The 19,205-nt window shown below is 33.4% G+C and overlaps 1 protein-coding gene and 1 non-coding gene across 6 annotated transcripts in view; one reads left to right on the top strand and one right to left on the bottom strand.

Annotated features, from left to right (window-relative positions):
• Window positions 1–599: 599 nt before the first annotated feature.
• Window positions 600–19,205, bottom strand: part of CPSF6 (cleavage and polyadenylation specific factor 6) — a 34,790-nt gene continuing 16,184 nt past the window's right edge. Inside the window, exons 4-11 of one of the 5 annotated variants that reach the window (XM_005268588.4) lie at window positions 18,116–18,261; window positions 17,053–17,226; window positions 16,813–16,923; window positions 15,864–16,368; window positions 15,415–15,530; window positions 14,761–14,914; window positions 12,396–12,588; window positions 600–5,446 (exon numbers count right to left, since the gene is read on the bottom strand). In XM_005268588.4, the coding sequence (XP_005268645.1) occupies window positions 12,399–12,588; window positions 14,761–14,914; window positions 15,415–15,530; window positions 15,864–16,368; window positions 16,813–16,923; window positions 17,053–17,226; window positions 18,116–18,261 (1,396 nt within the window). In that variant the 3' untranslated portion in view covers window positions 600–5,446; window positions 12,396–12,398. Of the gene's footprint in view, window positions 5,447–12,394; window positions 12,589–14,760; window positions 14,915–15,414; window positions 15,531–15,863; window positions 16,369–16,812; window positions 16,924–17,052; window positions 17,227–18,115; window positions 18,262–19,205 lie in introns of those variants that run through there. The other 4 variants (NM_001300947.2, XM_005268590.4, NM_007007.3 and 1 more) reach the window with 4 other exon arrangements.
• Window positions 1,740–1,801, top strand: MIR1279 (microRNA 1279). Its single transcript, NR_031692.1, has one exon. It is a non-coding gene; the product is annotated as a microRNA 1279 (primary transcript).

Here is a 19,205-nt window from a genome sequence, read left to right as displayed (position 1 = left end):
AACAAACAGTAACAGGAAATCTAACAAAAATCTGAACCACAATTTTAGTGGAGGCATGGAAAGGGATCCCAGTGATGGTAGTATTATTTCTCATGTTCATATTCACTTGTTTAGAACTGTTACCTTTAATACTCTGAAGCTTGCAGGTAAGAAATCTGAGGCCTGATATTAATACCTGGCACAGAAATATCTACTGAAATCACTGAAACTGAAGTCTGTTACTGTTTCAAAAGTACCCCATAATGTTTCCAAGCTAACCAGTAAAATATTTTTGCTACAAACATTTTTACTTAAGTCTAGTAAGGTTAATGATCCTCTAAAACTAGACAAATGCTTTCTGAATCTTCCATTTAAAAACCATGTAACAGCCTGGAAATCTGTCAGGCCTCTTAATCCTAATTTTAGCCCAATTATCAGTCGCTTTAAAGAGCACCAAAATGTCAATACACAAGAAAACCACCACTATCTGGCTTAAAGATAGAATACAGACAACAGTCCAATTTCTGCTATACTGCATATTGCCAATAAACATTAACTACTTAAAACCATACACAATGGTTACCAAATAACAAATTAAACAAAAAAGACAAACTGCAAAGTCTTATCAAAAGTTTGTTTTATTTTCAATACAAGATAAATACCATGCTTGTTACTAGTGCAGTTTAAGGCCGACAATGGCCATATATCAAACTGCCGAACAGTCACCTAAATGCTAAAGAAAGGAAAGACAAAGTAAACATTAAACACAAAATTGCAATTACAAACATTTTAATAAAATGGAATGAGCTTTTTAATTGAAGCTAATATGAAGTCTAATTCTCATGGACAGCAAAAAAAAAAAAAAAAAAGTCTATTAGATCAATTATCACCTTACCTTTTTGCACAGAAATCTTATTGTGAAGTCACCATAGAGTCAATAGCTAAAATTTTAAGACTTTCTTTGGCCTTCTGATATTAAACAAATTATTTACAAACTGTGATCAGTAATTCGTGGATATTGGTAAAATGATACAATTTTTTGTTGTTGTTGTTAAGGGCTTTCCATTAAAAATTGTAAAACAACTTTGTAAGGCTGTACAGGGCTGTAAACTACTTTGCTAATATACCATGGGATGCAGAGGAAGGAATAATAGACCTTTTTTTTAAGGCTAAAGTTATCAATGTTATAGATGCATTCCTTAAAATACATTATGATTTATACCCAAAGGATCCTTTCCCATTAAATACCACCTGAGTACTACAATTTTCAAAGTAAAAAAATAAACATGAATTCACCATAGTTATTTTAAAATAATTTAACTTACAGAATGTTGAGAAGTGTTACGCAGTAACAGTGCGACAAAAAGAACACACTTTCAAAACAAAATGTTTTCGCTAAATGCAGGGTCTGTCCAATTATGAAATTAATGTAAAACATTTACACCCATGGCAGAGTTTTAGGATACTCCCACGTGAAAAAAACTCTTGGTAGTATTTACTATGCAGTTACCACTTCAAGATGTGTGTGACTTCAATTAAATTCAACCTAGTATTTAAAAGACTCCATTACAATATGTTAATACAGCAGGAAGTCTTTAAAGACATTAAAATCTGTCGTATATAATCAAGTATTTATACGTCCCATACAAAAACCATAGTAGCTGCATACTCAGTGAATGCCACAACCTGAAATTCTAAAAAAAGAACATTGGTTAAGACAAACCTAAATCAATCTGAACAGTGTTGCCTGAATATTTAGAATATTCACAAAAATTCATATTGCTTCTTTCTAATGCCAAGAAAGAAGAGTATAAGAACTTCCTCCCAGAAGCCTAGACATTTTAATACATTTTCTATTTCAACTTACAATGAAACTTTAATCCTGAATCTTGATTTATCTAAATCAAAAATCTCACATTACGAACACAAGGAATGCCATATGTAAGGCCACATCTTAATAAATTTATAATTTTTGGTTGAATATTTATTGAAAAAATCAGTCTAAGGCTTCTAAGAGTCAAGTTGCTTAAAAAAATAAATACACCAGTGTTTAAACTGAAGTTAAGGTTAAAAAAACGCATACACACACACACACACACACACACACACTGTAAGAACAGAAAAATAGAATGCTTTGCTACAAAAATCCCACTTAATATATTTTAGCACAAAAATGTCTAATATACACTGGATAAGCGTGCATTTACGTACATACAACTAGGGGAAACATTTACAGAGGGCTACGGGATGCAAATGAACTTAATGAGTAATAAAAACCAGTTGTTATCTGTAAAACAGAGAATCTCAATACTGTATTCTCAGTCAAGAATTAGAACATAAACTTCCTCTTAAGCTGAAGCTTAAAACACAAAATTGGAGCCATTTTAGAAAATACAGAAAATGCAATGATCATTCAGGTATGAAAACCAAAATGTCGAGAGCACTCCAACAGAAAAGTCTTGTAATGCATCTCATTGTATAAAACAGTATGTATTTAGATTGGCACAGTTAAATACATAAGGGAAAGAGAAAGTCTTTGCCCTTTCCACAATTTTCCTTCACTATAAAATATTATACAACATTCATTAAAACCTCCATGTTTATTTTAATAACTGACCTGAAACTAGTAAAAAATAAAGCAATATTCTCCACAGGAGAATTAAATGAAAATAGTATCTTAAGCTACAAGTTATCTGTGTATTCCAAATTGTCATTAACTGCTTAAGAACATTCTAGGTAAAAGGACCATTAAATGGGCTAAACTATGATCAAAAGCCACTGCAACTTACTCCAAACCTTATGAAAAGTGACAAAAAAAAAAAACACACATCTGCAAATTTACACTGGAATATGCTTTCCACAACATAGTTCCTTTAACCAAAAGCAGCACTTTCAATCCAAAGTGTTGCCTCAGAAGCAGTACCATTCAGGTACTGTATCACTCATCTGTTTAACTTTACTACTGGCTGAAAGGAATGTGACTGTATAGCACTAATAAATGCTATGTTTTAAAATTCAACTCGTTTGTTTTCACATCCACTACAGTTATTAACTAAGGAAAAAATGAAAAGGTCTCTGAGACACTGTTTTTGGTGTCTATGCAAGGATTTATCTCTTTGGATTGTTTTTACACATTAAAAAAAGGAAGAGTTTTCAAATAACATTAACCCATAAACAACTGAAGGGGGTATGAAGAACAAAACAAGGCCTGCAATTTTCACCTTTACTGCTATACATTCACGTGTTATCAGGTAGAGAAGGACTTTGCAAAATTACTTGGTCAAACCAAGAAGTTATTTCCTTCTGACAACACTTAAAATAACGGATTAGCAGCAAACAAATCTAGTACACTCACACTGTCTGTAACGAAAGTCATGTAATGAGATCAGCCAAGCAAGGAGAAGAGTGATATAGAAGGAGCAATTAAAAGGTTCCATTGATAAAATATGAAAAGGTAAATAAAGGATTTAATTAGTATAAAATTTCCAGTTTCATTTCAAGTGCAGTTAGATTTTTGTGATTCCATTTTTAAACTGTTCAAAGAAAATTTTATTTTCATGGACATTTTACTTACCTTTTAACCCTTTACTATTAACTAATTTCTCTTGTAATATTTATATGTCCATACTTCTTCGCATTAGGGCATTGTAGTCAAAATATTAAAAAGCCAAGAAATGACACAACAATATACAGAAAACAGGAAAATTTTGATACAACTCTAAAATAATGTTAAAAAAGCAACCGCATTTTCAACAAAATGCTTTAAAAAATCATTTCTGAAAGTGAACAGTTCTGATAAACATCAACGATCCCATGCACAGATACTTCAAACACAAAATATTTTAAAATAAAACTGGCAGTGATATGGGTAATTCAAAACAGCTAATTTTGTCAGAAGTGGTTTGATAGCAGACAAGATGAAAGTGAAGAACAGCAGTGGAAATTTCTGGAGGGTTTCTACAGTTGCACATAACACAGTATCTAGGGTATTTTAACACTTTAAGCATTGTCCTAGAATTTGGGTACTCTTTAACAACCAATGTGTATTAACAGAAGATCTCTCAAAGATAATCAGATCTTAAAAACATATTAACGTGCTCAAGAATTTTAAGTCAAATTTCTGAAGTAGTGATTTCAAATTACATTCCCATAAAAACACCTAATCAAGTTGACACCCTGCCTCTGCCAATTTTGCAATCAAGAACACATGCTAGTCAGGTGCTTTTAAAGTGGGCCTATATGTAAGGCAGGTTTGAAAAAAATCTTTGATTAAGTAACTATAGCATGAATCAATACGGTGCATGAATATACATAGTATTCCTTAAACTGTGCAGACACGGTTTATCTGTAATTTCCCATTACAAATACTGGGGAATACAACCGAATGTTAATGAACATCACATCCTTCAAAAATTTATACCAATTGGAAAATATAAGGCTCTCTTTACTCACATTTACCTGCTGCAGGGCTGTATTTACACTGACTATGGCTTAAGAAATAAACCATAAGATCAATAAAAACAGCAAGTAATTGCAGCATCAAATCGGAATTGTCAAAATTTCTTCAATGTTAGCGGTTCACAATTAAGTGTTTCGGTACATCTGTGTTGTAATTAACCTGCATTACACATCAAATATGTACGGGTTTTTACTTATGTGTTAAAACCTCTGTTTTTTTGACCCCTTACACATTGACTAGATTGCTATGTCTGTCAAATCTCTATTTTTACAAGTTTACATACCATTCAGCAAAGTCACAAGCTAACTAGGTAAAAACAGCTAGAAAAGCAGAATATAGAAATATTAAATATCCATGTAATCACCTATTCTAATATCAAAATCAAGGGCAAAAGACACTTAATTACTATGTTTAATTCACTGAACGCAAGATTAGATTGAGGCATATCCAAAAACGCTATTGCAATGCTTTAAAGGACAGTAAAAATGTTGTCATAGTAACATTATCTTTAGATATTGCTGAACACAAGACTTTCCCTGAGGTGTAAACATCAAATAACTTGAACAGCTTTACACATCAGCCCCATTAAACAGTTTATTACAACACTACATCTATTGTAATCAAAGTGATGCTGTTTACAGACATTATCATATAAACATTTTTAACAAGAACAAACTACTACAAAAACAAGCATTTACTTGACTTTTTTTCCAATTGCTTGCACATCATAATGGCCAAATGTATATAACCAGTAATAAAGTTGCAAAAGCTATAACTTTTTAAATCACACAGGTTTCCTTCAAATAAAACAGTTAAGCAACATAAAAAATAAAAGTAGAGCTACTGGTTACCATTTATGCAGATTTGCTTTATTCAGATCTATTCCTGTTCATTTTATCCATGAATCCTTACAGGTTCAGTTCAATCACAAGAAGCAAACTGCTGGACAAGCGTCATTTTTCCCCCATGAAGACTGTTTTGTCTTGGAAGGTGATCCTCTTCCTTCAGCTGTAATGTGTCAAAATTTGTGATGTAGATTTTGCTATTCCCCAAAATACACAGAAAAACGCTGGCTTAACTATACATACACAAGTCGTGCATCTACTTCACTGTTATGTATTCTAACACAAAATAAGAATTAACTGAAACAGTAGCTGCCTTTGTGGTGGTGAAATGTTCCAATTTACCTGATGATTAAACTGAGACATTCTGATTTCATTCTTCTTAAATATTATTGCCTTATAAATTTAATGACTGAAGCAGTAATGAAAACATAGCAGCTACTGTTTCTGTGATGATGGAAACATTCATAAGTCATTTTCTAAAATATGCATACTACAAAAATAAATGGAAAATGCTTGGATGATTTTTATGTAAATATTTTTCATTCACCCACATATCAAGTCTATAAACTCATTTAACAATTAAATGCTGAACTAAATATAAAATGCAAAATTATTTTACAAATTAATTTATTTAACAGCATACAGGAACTTCTGCAAGTATTATAAATCAAATGGTGTTCCATGTTACAAAATTTGTAAGTAAGATTTATAAATAGAGTATGGACATTTAAATTAATGACATCCACGTACAAATCTTTAGACGTAATACAAATTTAAAACATTTACTTTACTTTTAGTCTATTCCACCTATATAGAAATACCTAACGTAGTATTATAAACTAACCAAAACAAGCTAAGTGGGAATCTACAATGATAAAGTTCATTTAAAACTCACATAAAAGAAAAAAAATAGAATAAAGTTGATAAACTAAAATTTAAAGAATACATATATATGCAAACTTCAGGTAGAGGTTCACAAGAAACATTCAATTAACTTGGATATAAGTAACCACTGAAACAGTCGGTAATGAAAGTATAAATGACAAGAAACCACTTCAATAATAAAGTGATTTAAGAGTCAAGAGGGCAGAAGGTTTTTTAAAATTTTTTTTCAGTTTGAACATGTTCATAGGGCACAGTTTAGTGATATTTTGAAATAAAAATAACTGAAAAATACTTTTTGCTCTACAATTAAGAGTTACTTCTGCCACTGCTATAAATTTTTCTATTATGTCCTTTCCTAGGTTGTATCTTAAGAGCATCAGTACATATATGCATTCACACTGCCTAGCAGTAATAACTTAAAATTTTAAAACTGCAAAAGAAAAAAAAATACAATCCAGACTTCTCTTTTATATATATAGTTTCTATATGCCTGTATCTTTCAGATAACTTCAGCCATTACTATTGTTATCTTTTATTGCATCTTCATCTTATGTTGATGAAGCTATTTAGTGAAACTATTTAATGGGGAAAAAATACAAAATGGCAGCTTTCAAATGTTTTATTTTTATTATCTGCACTACACTATTAAAAAACAGGTTTATGTATTAGAGAGAGACAAGGCATATGTTCTAACCTGAAATAATAATTACTGGGAAATTAATAAATCTAACTGCAAAAGAATGCTATCTCCCTAAATTTTCTGTTGCGCTGGAAGGGATAAAAAGTCATTAAGAGGGAAAAACTATTTAAAGTCATAGCAAAACAAAAATATTCAACTCTTCCATAAAACATATCACATACACTGCATCTTTGTGTCATTATCACTCCAGTGGAGAATTATACTATTTTTATATAGAGAATCCCATTTGTAAAATTGCAACACACATCTTTTCCCAGGACTAATGCACTCTTTTGTTTGATTATACTTTATAGATAGATCTTTTCTATTAATAAATCTAATTTTCACCATACAGACATAAAATATGGGGGATAGTCTAGCAGTTTTTATTTCTATTTCTAAACACTTTACATTTTATGCACTTGGAAATACAAATTTTACAGTCTTAAACGAAAGTGAATTTGAAGGCAATACAACCCATTTCCAATAATCCAATTCCATATTATACTCTCAAATGTCTAAGTAGGCAACTACATCAACAAAGATATCAAAAAGAAGCTTAAAAGTGACAAATACATTCAACGTCCATGTTTTCAATGTATCATTTGGTAAAATCTGTAATGTCAAAGCCACACAATTACTTGCTTTAGCTATTAATTATAAAAGAAAGGCCTATGTAAACAGATGTTAAAACAACTAAGATGATAAATGGAATCTACACCTTTTTAATAAAGTCTGTAAACTAAAGTGAGCACTAAGTAAAATTTCAACACACAGAGAAGTACTTGTATTTTAAGATACTATATCAAGCCATTATTAACAACTCAAATTATAACTGTTTCTGTTAGAAATTTATCTATGCACATTTGTTAGAATTAGTATTTTAAATTCATGGTAAATTCATCTTTTAAGATTTAAATAAATACTTGACAGGGCACTTTTATAGATTTTCACATTAATATACTGAATTAAAAGGATTCTCATAATTTTAGAGATGCACTACTAACTCAACGAAATAAAATTCACTTTTCTCTATCTGAAAATTTCTCCTTAATAAGAGGAATGGAAATGAGGTGGGCAAGAGAAATAATTATCTACATATGAGTTAACTCTAAAATCAAAATTCCTTCTTGTGTTGACTAGAACATATTACATAAAAACAATTCTAGTTATTGTAGATATTTACAAGAAGTTCTTGCTACCAAAACATTTCATATTTTCTTCTACCTCTGTACATAGTACTTACCTCATTTTAAGTAAAGCATTTTATTACTCTATAAAACACATACATAATTGCTCTTACAACCCAGTAAAATAGAAATAAACTTAATCACATTCAAAGAAAAATGAGGTTTGTTCCCAAAAGATTTACAAAATGAACATCTCAAAATAACCTGTTATTTATAATTCATGGAGAGTCAAAACATGCTACCACAAATTCATAAAATTTGGATAGCATAAATGGCACCCTTACCCCTTTTTGGTTATTAGGTTTCTTTAAACAACGTTAACTAAATATTCATTCAAGACAGAATTTACTCAAAACAATCTATTTTACAAACTAAAACAATGGTAGTAAATTTAACACTGAGATGACGGTGAGAGAGCAAGATGACTCACACTGGCATTGAATTTTTTTTCAACAGGGAACATTAATCATTTGTAAACAAAACTATATTCTTAAACCACAGTGAGCAAAACACACTATACATCCATTCAAGGGATCACTTCCTACTCCCTCTTGTAACTTCAATTAAGTCAGCTGTGTAGTGAGACAGGTTTTGTGAATACTCAAAGAAAAATCAGAGCTAAAGCAATGAAAGCTAGCATACATATCCAGATGAAGCAGAGCAGTTAGGATACATGGGAAAACAAGGAAACAGGGCTGGGAGCTATAACGCAGACCTCAGATAACCTAAGAGCTGCAGAAACAATTTTAAAATCTTATTATAACCAGTATCATTCACCAGGTAATTAAGAGAATTTAATTTTCACATAAGCCTCAAAGCAACACTAAGAAGAAAATGAAACATCTTTAACATGTAAGAATTTTTTTTATTCTTTTGGCTTTTTTTTTTTTTTTCAAAATTAACACAAAGCTAATAAGCTGAATACACAATGCAAAGCATCCTAAATCTTGGGCAATAACAAAATCTAAGATCCTAAGATCATGATATTTAAGGTAGGAAAAAAGTAATCAGACTAGACTGGGCGCGGTGGCTCACGCCTGTAATCAATCCCAGCACTTTGGGAGGCAGAGATGGGTGGATCACCTGACGTCGGGAGTTTGAGACCAGCCTGACCAACATGGAGAAACCCCATCTCTACTAAAACTACAAAATTAGCCGGGCGTGGTGCCACATGCCTGTAATCCTAGCTACTCCGGAGGCTAAGGCAGGAGAATTGCTTGAACCCAGGAGGTGAAGGTTGTGGTGAGCTGAGATTGTGCCACTGCACTCTAGACTGGGCAACAAGAGCAAGACTCCATCTCAAAAAAAAAAAAAAAAAAAAAGTAATCAGATAGCAAAGGCAAGTTATTTAATCCAGACCCCATACCCAATGCTTAAAAATTGTCATGGATGATTTGAGAATTGTAAAACCTCATAAAATAGAGAGAGGAAAAGCCTGAATAAAGAGTATTTTAAAAAAACATAATTTGGTTTCAGTAAACAAAGAAAAGCTGAATTGTTAACACAAATTTGCTGAGTAGGGATGTTCCAAAGAAGTGACAAGAGGAACGTAACCTTTTAAGTAACTCAACTATGAAACTAAAATTATTTCAGTAAAAAATGTACAATCGTAAAGCACTGAACTACTTTTATTTTGCTCAGAGTGGTCTGAGAATAGAGGTAGAAATTACAGAATATGAAGCACAACGTATTTACATACTGAAATTTACAATATTGGTATTTTCTCATTAAAATATTATCTATTTGAACTTAGATATTGAATACTTTTAGAAAAACCAATACATTTTAAAATGAGAGAATGCAATTAACATTACCAACAGTTCAAACACAAAAAAAAATTAAGATGGGACAGACATTAACAGCTTGCCAAGATCATTACGTTTCCAGTTAAAAAGTTAAGAACTTGCCCTTTTAGCCATTCATCATCACTTTAATAGATTACATTAGTATTTTATTTGTATACAGCCTTACTAGTGACATTCACTTTAGCTTTCAAATCACTCAGTCCATTTGGTCCATTTAAGATTTACATGAAAGCTCAAAAGGACTCATATTTTAAAACTTCTAAAAAGGTCAACAGACCTTATTATGATGGTGATCAAATTTGCAGATAGCTTTTGTTTTAAAGATTTACTTGAATATATTTAATCCCAGTCCCCACCCCTTTATTCAAGTCTACATCCACAATACTGTTTGATATAGCAAACGTACAATAATCCAGGATAACAGAATTTTTTGCACTAGAAATGCTTATGTAAAATTTTTCTTGGATGAAGGCACATACAGTATTACAACTCAATTCTGATTAATGTACAAACAAAACATGGAAATTCTGGTATGGTACATCAGTGATTAAGAAAAATGTCAACAATAGTTTGCACATTAGGAATTTGTAGTTTATGTCTGAATGTAATGAAACTCAAGTCATGATATATTTAGGTGTACCCATTACTAGAATGTAATGTTAGCTAACTCAAATAAGATTAACAATGGACTTTGTTTACTTGGTTGACTATGCTAGTTTTACTAAAACCAGTAGAAATTGTAATTAGTTAACTTTGGGCTTAAATTGGTTTAGAGGCCCCTTGATGGGCACATCCAATTTTGTAGATGAATTCAAGTTTCATTATCATGCCTTTACTAACAAGAAGCTTGCTGATAACTTATAAAGTCCAAAAAAATAGGTAACTTACAGAACCTGTACCCTTCTATAATGGAAATGACTGACATAGGTAAGCATTTCAACTAATAACCCAGTCACAATCCAGTTTAAGCAACTGATGGATATTGAGAATTTTTTCATTAAGATGGGATCAGATGTATTTAACTCAGGGGAAAAAAGTGCTACATCTTTAAAATTTAGTGTTTAGATTTACATAATACAACATTCAATTTTTACATTCAAAAACAATATCAATTTCAATAAGCTTAGTTTTAAAAGTAAAAGGTTTTTTTGCCTCATATTAAAAGAATGTTTTGAGATTTATATTAAATTTTGTAATACATGGAAAACTACAAATTAAAGTTTTGATATTCAATCTGCATATTCAAAATGCAAAGTATCAAAACCAGCCTTTTAACTCAAAAAGCCCTTAAAATTGTAAATAGTGTAGGAGCTTATATCTGTGTTCCATAAAAATAGCATGCTTATTTTCTAGGCATTTAAGGACTTCATTTGCGTATCTGTTATGGTTAAAGAAATTGGTATTCTGTCACAGAATTACATACACTTGATAAAACCTTTAATTTTGCCCATAACAATTTAAATACTAACAATTACCATGACTGAATTTTCAGTAAGTTTCCCATGATTACTGAAAATAATCACATAAAGAGTATTTACCTATGAGGGGTTTGTTTAGCCTTAATTTAATTTGAATATGCCAACCAACATATAAAGAAAAAATATTTTAATTTACAGAATAACCTTTGTGTCACATGCATAAGCCTTATAGTGCCCTCCCCCAGCTCTTCACATGAATAAATGCTATTAACAAATATAAAAAATAAAATTACATGTGAAAATGAAGCATAAACAGACAACTCTTCCCACTTCATGAAAAATGTACACAAGAAAGTTTTAAAATACAGAAAAAAAGACAATGATTATGATTTATGAATGAAACATCAAAGAAAATTATTTCAAGGTATTCTAAACTTGGGTATATGGCTTGACACAATTTAAAATTTTTAGATATAAATCAGTGCACCCTAAACCCATTTTAATTGATTAACTTTTACATCTTCTTTGCAAATTAAAGGATACTGTTTCTTTTAAAAACAAAAAGCAGATGTCAGGATAGTGTCTCTTCTAAAAAAAAAAATTTTTTTTTTAAAGGAAAATTCTCTTTGAATGTTGAGAAAACACCCTCCTGTATTATAAACTATTATTGTGTTAGATTTTCTCATAAATTTTTAGGGACAAATAAAACTAGTTCAAAAATAGTAACTTTCCATTTATTTTTAAAAATCCAAACACATAACATATATGTGAAATAACTCCCTGTGTTTTGTATTTTAAATTGCATGCAACCTATGTATGTGATACAAGAACCCCAATTTTTAGATTTTAGAAGTACACAATGAGTCCTCTTGATTATTTCCTTGCTTTGTTAAGACCATTAACTATTTGAAACCTGAAAGTGATAACTCAGCAATAAAATATTCATAAGATAAAGGGTCAAAATTTTTACCTGTCATTACTTACCTATAATTTGTTTCAGATGTTTCCAGAAGATTAAATTCACAAGTAGTTGGACCATTTAAAATGTAGGTATATACTGTATAAACAGTAGCCTTGGAGTTATAGTTACTGTTAAGAATACACACACATTTAACAGGGAACAAGGAATACCCACCTTCTAACGATGACGATATTCGCGCTCTCGGTCACGCTCTCGGTCACGGTCTCGGTCACGATCCCGGTGCCTCTCTCGTTCTCTGCTTCTCTCTCTGTAATAATCGTCATGACGGTCTCTACTACGGGATTTATGACGTCGACTCTTTTCTCGTGATCTACTATGGTCCCTCTCTCTTGATCGTTCACGTCTTCTAAAAGAAATTACTGGATTAATGCTCTCCATAATTAGATAGCCTAAAAATATTCAATTTTTTGATGTCTAAAAAAACTTAGGCAGCAAAAATTCTTTGTAAATCTGGTTTAAACTTACTATCCTGAGCTGCCAATAACGACTTACCAACTCACCAGGTAAGCATGAACCAGAAATTTCACTATTAAAAACATTAACAAAAAAATCAGCAACCAGACACATCACAGAAATGCATCACATCATCTATTAAACTAGTAGCCTAAAACAGATGTGTAGTATTTACTGAATGCACAAATAGAAAGGTAAAGGGAAAATTTCAAAGCACTCGTGTTTCAAGCTAAAGAACATCTACAATATGGTTTTTTTAGATATAAAAGTCATGAAATCACAACACACAATGGGGCTTAAATACATGAATATGACAACCTCTTAACATATGGTTCATGAGCAGCATCCAACACAAAGAAACCTTCTAATACGCATGTTATATTCAGGGGAGGAGAAGAGGCATGGGAGAGGGCTAACAATTATGACCAGTAGCAAGAATAGATATAGTATTCACATTGTATTTAATAAGTAGAAATGTTTCATGAACTGCGATTTTTTAAAAACAAATAATTTAACCAAAGCTTACTACCCAAAAGACTTCTATAAATTCTGCTAAATTCACAGTAAGGAAATAATAACTGTCTACGAAATAATATTTATGTCTTGTATTTCTGCACCAGACAGCTAAGCTTAGCAAACATTAGGTGCTAAAATCCTTGATCAAGGCCTAAGTTATTACTTTGTTTTTTCAAGATAGGGTCTCTCTCTCTCTCTCTGTCACCCAGGCTGGAGTGCAGGGACATGATCACAGTTCATTTCATCCTCGACCTCTGAGGCTCAAGCAACCCTCCCACCACAGCCTCCCAAGTAGCTGGGACTATAGGCATGCACCACCAGGCCCAGATATTTTTAAAATTTTTTTGTAGAAAAACTCCTTATGTGGCCAAGGCTGGTCTCAAACTCCTGGGGCTCACGTGATCCTCCTGCCTTGGTCTCCCAAAGTGTTGGGATTAAAAAATTATTACTTTGGACTTCAAAACTTAAAAAGATGATACAAGATAACTATATCTATGACAAATTTGTTTAGACACAAAGATTCTTACACCGGGTCAAAAAGGTAATAATTACAAAACTGGGGACCATGTCAAAGGCAAGCTCTTTTCTCTTACAGATTACTACCAGATAGAGTACACTAAAGACATATCTAAGAATACCAAGTGAAGATTAGGTCTGCCTTTCAAAAATATATAAAATTTCAAAGTTAGCAGCAATGCTAAAAAGAAAAAAAAAGGAACTACCTAAAAGATAGATCATTCATTCATTCAGTCACTCCCTCATTCGAGAAATTTTTATTTAGCACTCATTCTGTACCACACACTCTGTAGGCATTAGAAATATTATAACGAGCATGGCTGAGCACACTGGCTCATGCCTATCATCCCAACACTTTGGGAGGCCAAGCTGAGAGGATTACTTGAGCCCAGGAGTTCAGGACCAGCCTGGGTAACTTAACAAGACCCATCTCTTAAAAGAAAAGAAATATAGTAAGCAGGATAGATAAATCCCCTGCCATCATTCAACATGTGTTCTAATGAGGAAAAATATGCCTTATAACAAGTAAGAATTGATTATGGTAAGTACTATGGAAGAAATAAAAAGAACAATACGACAGACTAACTTGGGAGAAGCCCCACCCTAAGAAGTTAGAATGAGACGTGAAGAATAAGGAGCCAGCTATGTGAAGAGACAGGGAAAACTGCTCCCAGCAGAAGGAATATAAAGTGAGGTGGTCAAACATTTGGTGTACCTAAAGAAAAGGAGAAATATGGAGAAATACTCACTGGAGAACAGTGAGTAAGGGGAGAGGTACAAAATGAGGCTAAAAAGATAGGCAGGGGCTTTATCACACAGTCCCTCAATCTTTACAGTCTTGCTTTAAGACTGAGTAGGAGCCTTTAAAGGGTTTTAAGCAAGCAACTAACATTTAGAGTTAAAAAAAAAAACCACTCCAGCTGCTAAATAATCAGTAAGTAAAAGCAAAGTCCTCCTTTTAAAGTCTCACAGTATTTTTTCCATTTGTAAACTAACAGTTTTTTTAAATGGAAATGAGACAGGAAAGTTTTACCTTGATCCAGAACCATAAGACTTGGACTCAATTCCATGAAGGCAATCTTGCAAAGAACTAATAAGAACTTTGCAACGATCATCAGCAGATACTTTGGATTGTTTAATTAAAGAAATTGCAGTTACCAGTGTCTCAATAGCACTCCCATAATCACCTGTGAGGGAAAGGAAAGGGTTTGAAGTCAAACAAATTTTGTTTTCAAAACACCATCAAACCACTTGGGATAAGAGTGATAAGGCATTTTACAAAAGTACTGTGCTATAAAATAACTATGCAAGACAATGTCTTCTTTCAGTGTTTCACCATTTGCAAAAGCCTTTCATGCTCATGATATTGACTCAACTTATTATACGTGTGTGAAGCACATTATCATTTTGCAAATATAAGAATAAATAAGGTGTCATGAGGCCCCTGAACCATTAAATGTCAAGGGTAAGACTTAAATCTATACCAAATAACTTAAAATTTGGATTTTCCCCACTACACTGTGACACACAACTTTTTTCAATGCTTTTTAAATAAATCGTAGGTAATGATTTGGGAATATAAAAAGAACTACTACATGTAAATGACCTATCTTCTAGATTGTACTTACATTTTTAGGTCATTCCTAATAACATAAATAAGAAATATTAATACAAGAAATACACAAACCAGCACTGGCATCAGACACAGCTCTCGAAATAGCACTGCTTGAGATTGCCCTATTTCTATTCATGATTTCTTCAAATTCAGCTTCACTCAATGGCGTTCTTGCAGTATCCATTTCCCTGTAAAACAAAAACATAAACCTTAACTCATACTCAACAGATTTCCTCAGTTAGTCACAACAGTGTATAGCAATTCATACTAGCTGCTTCTGACATGTGCTTTAGAGATAGTAGTTACTTTTCCATATTGAAGCATGCTACTTTTCCAACAAAGAGAACAAATCTAAAAATTCTCCTATACCAGTATCTTTCAGCTAAAACAGGGTAGCAGCTTAAACACCTCATCTTCTTGGAAGGCAGAAATAACATATTTATATACCTACAATCTAATATTTACAGTCATTGTTCCTATCTTTTATCATCAAGTACTTTCACAGATACACACTAACTTACCTTCCAGGGGGGCCATAGTCACCCCTATCATATGGTGGAGGTCGCCCATATGGATCTGTTGGTGGTGGACCTCGGCTATCTGATGTAGGCATGCCACTGTTAGTTGGTGGAGGAAAGAAAGCTGGGTTCACATGCGGAGCTGGCGGTGGGGCACCTGGAGGTGGTCCAGGAAGATGCGGAGGAGGAGCTAGTGTAAGGGGTGGCCCAAGTGGACCGGGTGGACGAGGTGGAAAGGGGCCTGGAGGTGGAGGTGGTCCCTGTTGTGGAGGTGGTGGGCCAGGAGGGGGGCCGTAGCCTGGAACTGGAGGTGGAGGGCCAGGAGGAAGTGGACCCAATGGAGGCTGCCCAAAAGGTTGTCCAGGAAAAAGAACTGGTGGTGGAGGGCGATCTCCTCGATTAGGAGGCCCAGCTAGAGGAGGAGGCAGAACCTGACCAGGAGGTGGAGGACCTGGTGGACCAGGTGGGCCTGGAGGACCTAAGGGTGGACGTGGTGGAGTCTGTCCAGCTAAAAAACAAAGGAGAAAGAGAGAAAAAAAAACACTTCACTAATAAGATATTTTAACTTTTATATGCCAAGATTATACTTTAAACGCATAGAGCATACACCAAGTCTTTGTCTTTAAATTAAACCCGTATGGTAAATGTTACACTACCAACTACAATGAAGTATATCCTTACAAATTTAACTAGCTCAATTTATGCTTAAGAAAAATTATTGAAACGAAAACTTTAATAAAAAAATATTACAATGCCTAGAGATATTTTCCATCTTTCCGTGTACACACACTTCTTACAGTGAAATCACCCACCTTATATTCTACTCTGATGCCAAGCTAGAAAGTGAAACAAGGAAAAATGATCTTGAAAGGATTTTTTTAAGAGGTAAGAAAGTAAGACGGATGTAAATATTCTATATATAAGTCAAGCAAGTTTGGAGAAAAATAAAGACCTTTTAGGCCAAAAATGGGTATTTCCTCTATGCTGTGCCCCATATGCCATGGAATCCTAGTTTCCAGGAACAAAGGCCGAGTTCCTTTAACAAGATGCTTGATCAAATTTCCTGGATTCCAAAAATAGCATAACAAGGAGAGTAAGTCACATTAATAATGCATTACTTGAAAAAGAGAGAAAAGGAAAAGAGGTATTAGGTAGACATGTTTTATCCATGGTAATTTAAGAAAAGTTTTACCTGGAAAAGGTGGGGGTGGCCCTCCTGGTCCTGCTGGCCCAGGAAATCTGTCCCCACCAGGAACAGCCCCTGGAAAACGGCCCCGTCCTCTACCACCTTGTGGAAATGCTGCACGGGAACTGCCTCCTGGAGGACCAGCTTTACCTTCCCCAGACATTTGTCCTGATTGTGTAGCTGCAAATATCCAAATACTCATAAATAGCACTTATTAAAAATAGTTTTCTGAAATGTAACCACTATTATTAAAAACAACTCTATTTCTAATATATTAACTTGCAAATGCCTTGTGCCTATGCAAACTACATAAGAAAGTATGGTTTAGGAAAACATTCACATCTATTTGGGTACTTTTAAAGACTCAAAATATCCAGGTTTAAATATATTTTCCATAGGTAATCGTGAGTTACTTTCAAAATACCAGCACTCTGCAGCAGCCAAGACCGAAATTCTTCAACAGATATCTTAATTTCAGTATTACATCATTTAAATTTTGTAACACACTTCTTCAGTTAAGTCTTAAGTGCTAAAACATTAAAAGAAAAGGAACCACTTGAATTTCTGTTAATTACATAATCATCCATCTCATCTCTTTAAAGATAATGTACTTAAATGTATAATGACAAATCTTTTCTATATTCAGTTTACCAAGTGGTGAAAGGTCTTGTTGCCAAGCAGAAAAATCAATGAACATTTTCTGGTTATCAGTGATCTCTCCCCCACCATAATACACATCCACATAGCTCTCCTTTAATCTAAGAATTAGAATGTAGTTTCTTTCTGTATCTAAGATGGAAATAATAGGACAAGAATGGCAGGGCTATAGAACTTGCACATTGTTGTATAGTATTGGGTCTGTTACATCTGGAGAAAAATGGAACAGGAGTAGGTTTCTCGTACACAGGCCCACAGTCATAACCAGTGATTAAATCTAATTCAAAGCATGGACTTTGTGAAATGGAGTTCCTAGTGAGCTAGTATTAAGATGACTTCTCTAGTATAACACCTAACAAATGCACTGGTTAAAATGTACATATTTTAATAAAAGCCTCTGAGGACTGCTTACTTTTCCTGGACTGCATTTCAAATTGACTCAGGAACTGTTTATTGCATGGAGTTACAACAGGATTCTGACCATGAAGTTCTCTTTTAGGTAACAGATCCATTAACTTTTTTGAAGATGCTTCAGATCCAACACCAACAAGGGCAAACCTAAAAAGTGTTTAAGGGGTGAGGATACAAAGTAAAAAGAGATCAATATTATTACTGTTATTCTTCTGTAAAAAGGTCTTAATCTGCTTTTATCTAAAACAACAGCTGGGCACAGTGGCTCATGCCTGTAATCCCAGCTGCTTAGAAGGTTGAGGCACGAGGATTGCTTGAGCCCAGGAGTTTGAGGCTACAGTAACCTATAATCACACTACTGCACTCCAGCCTGGGCAACACAGTGAGATCCTGTCTCTAAAAATAAATAATTTTAAAAACTAAAAATATTTCTTAACTATACGAGTACACATTTTTGTTCATCTTGTATAACATACCATAGAATTCAGTCATTCAAAATATATAATTCAGTGGTTTTTAGTATTTCACAGTGTTATAACCACCACCATAATCAATTTTAAAACATTTTCATCACCCCAAAAAGAAACTCCATATCCATTAGCCATCGCTCCCATTCCTTCCCATCCCTGTACCCTATGGAACCACTAAACCTAATTTCTGTCTCTGGACTGGCCTATCCTAGACATTTCATCTAAATGGAATCATACAATAGGAGGTCCCTTGTGACCAGCCTTCTTTAACTAGCATGTTTTCAAGCTTCATCCACTGTTACAGCATGCATCACCACTTACTTTTATGGGTGAATAATTTTCCATTATAAATATACAACATTAAAAGAAATGTATCCATCAGTTCATGGACATTTGGGTTGCTTCCACTTTTTGCTACAATAAAAAGATGTACAATATCATTAACTATTGGGGAAGTGCAAATCAAAACCACAAGATACCACCCCATACCCACTAGGGTGGCTATAATCAAAAAGACAAGTATTAAAGATGTGGAGAGGCCGGGTGCAGTGGCTCACGCCTATAATCTCAGCACTTTGGGAGGCCAAGGCAGGAGGATCATGAGGTCAGGAGTTCAAGACC

Source organism: Homo sapiens, chromosome 12 (genome assembly GCF_000001405.40).
Source record: "Homo sapiens chromosome 12, GRCh38.p14 Primary Assembly".
Taxonomy (NCBI): Eukaryota; Metazoa; Chordata; class Mammalia; order Primates; family Hominidae; genus Homo; species Homo sapiens.
This window is presented reverse-complemented; position numbering and strand designations above follow the sequence as displayed.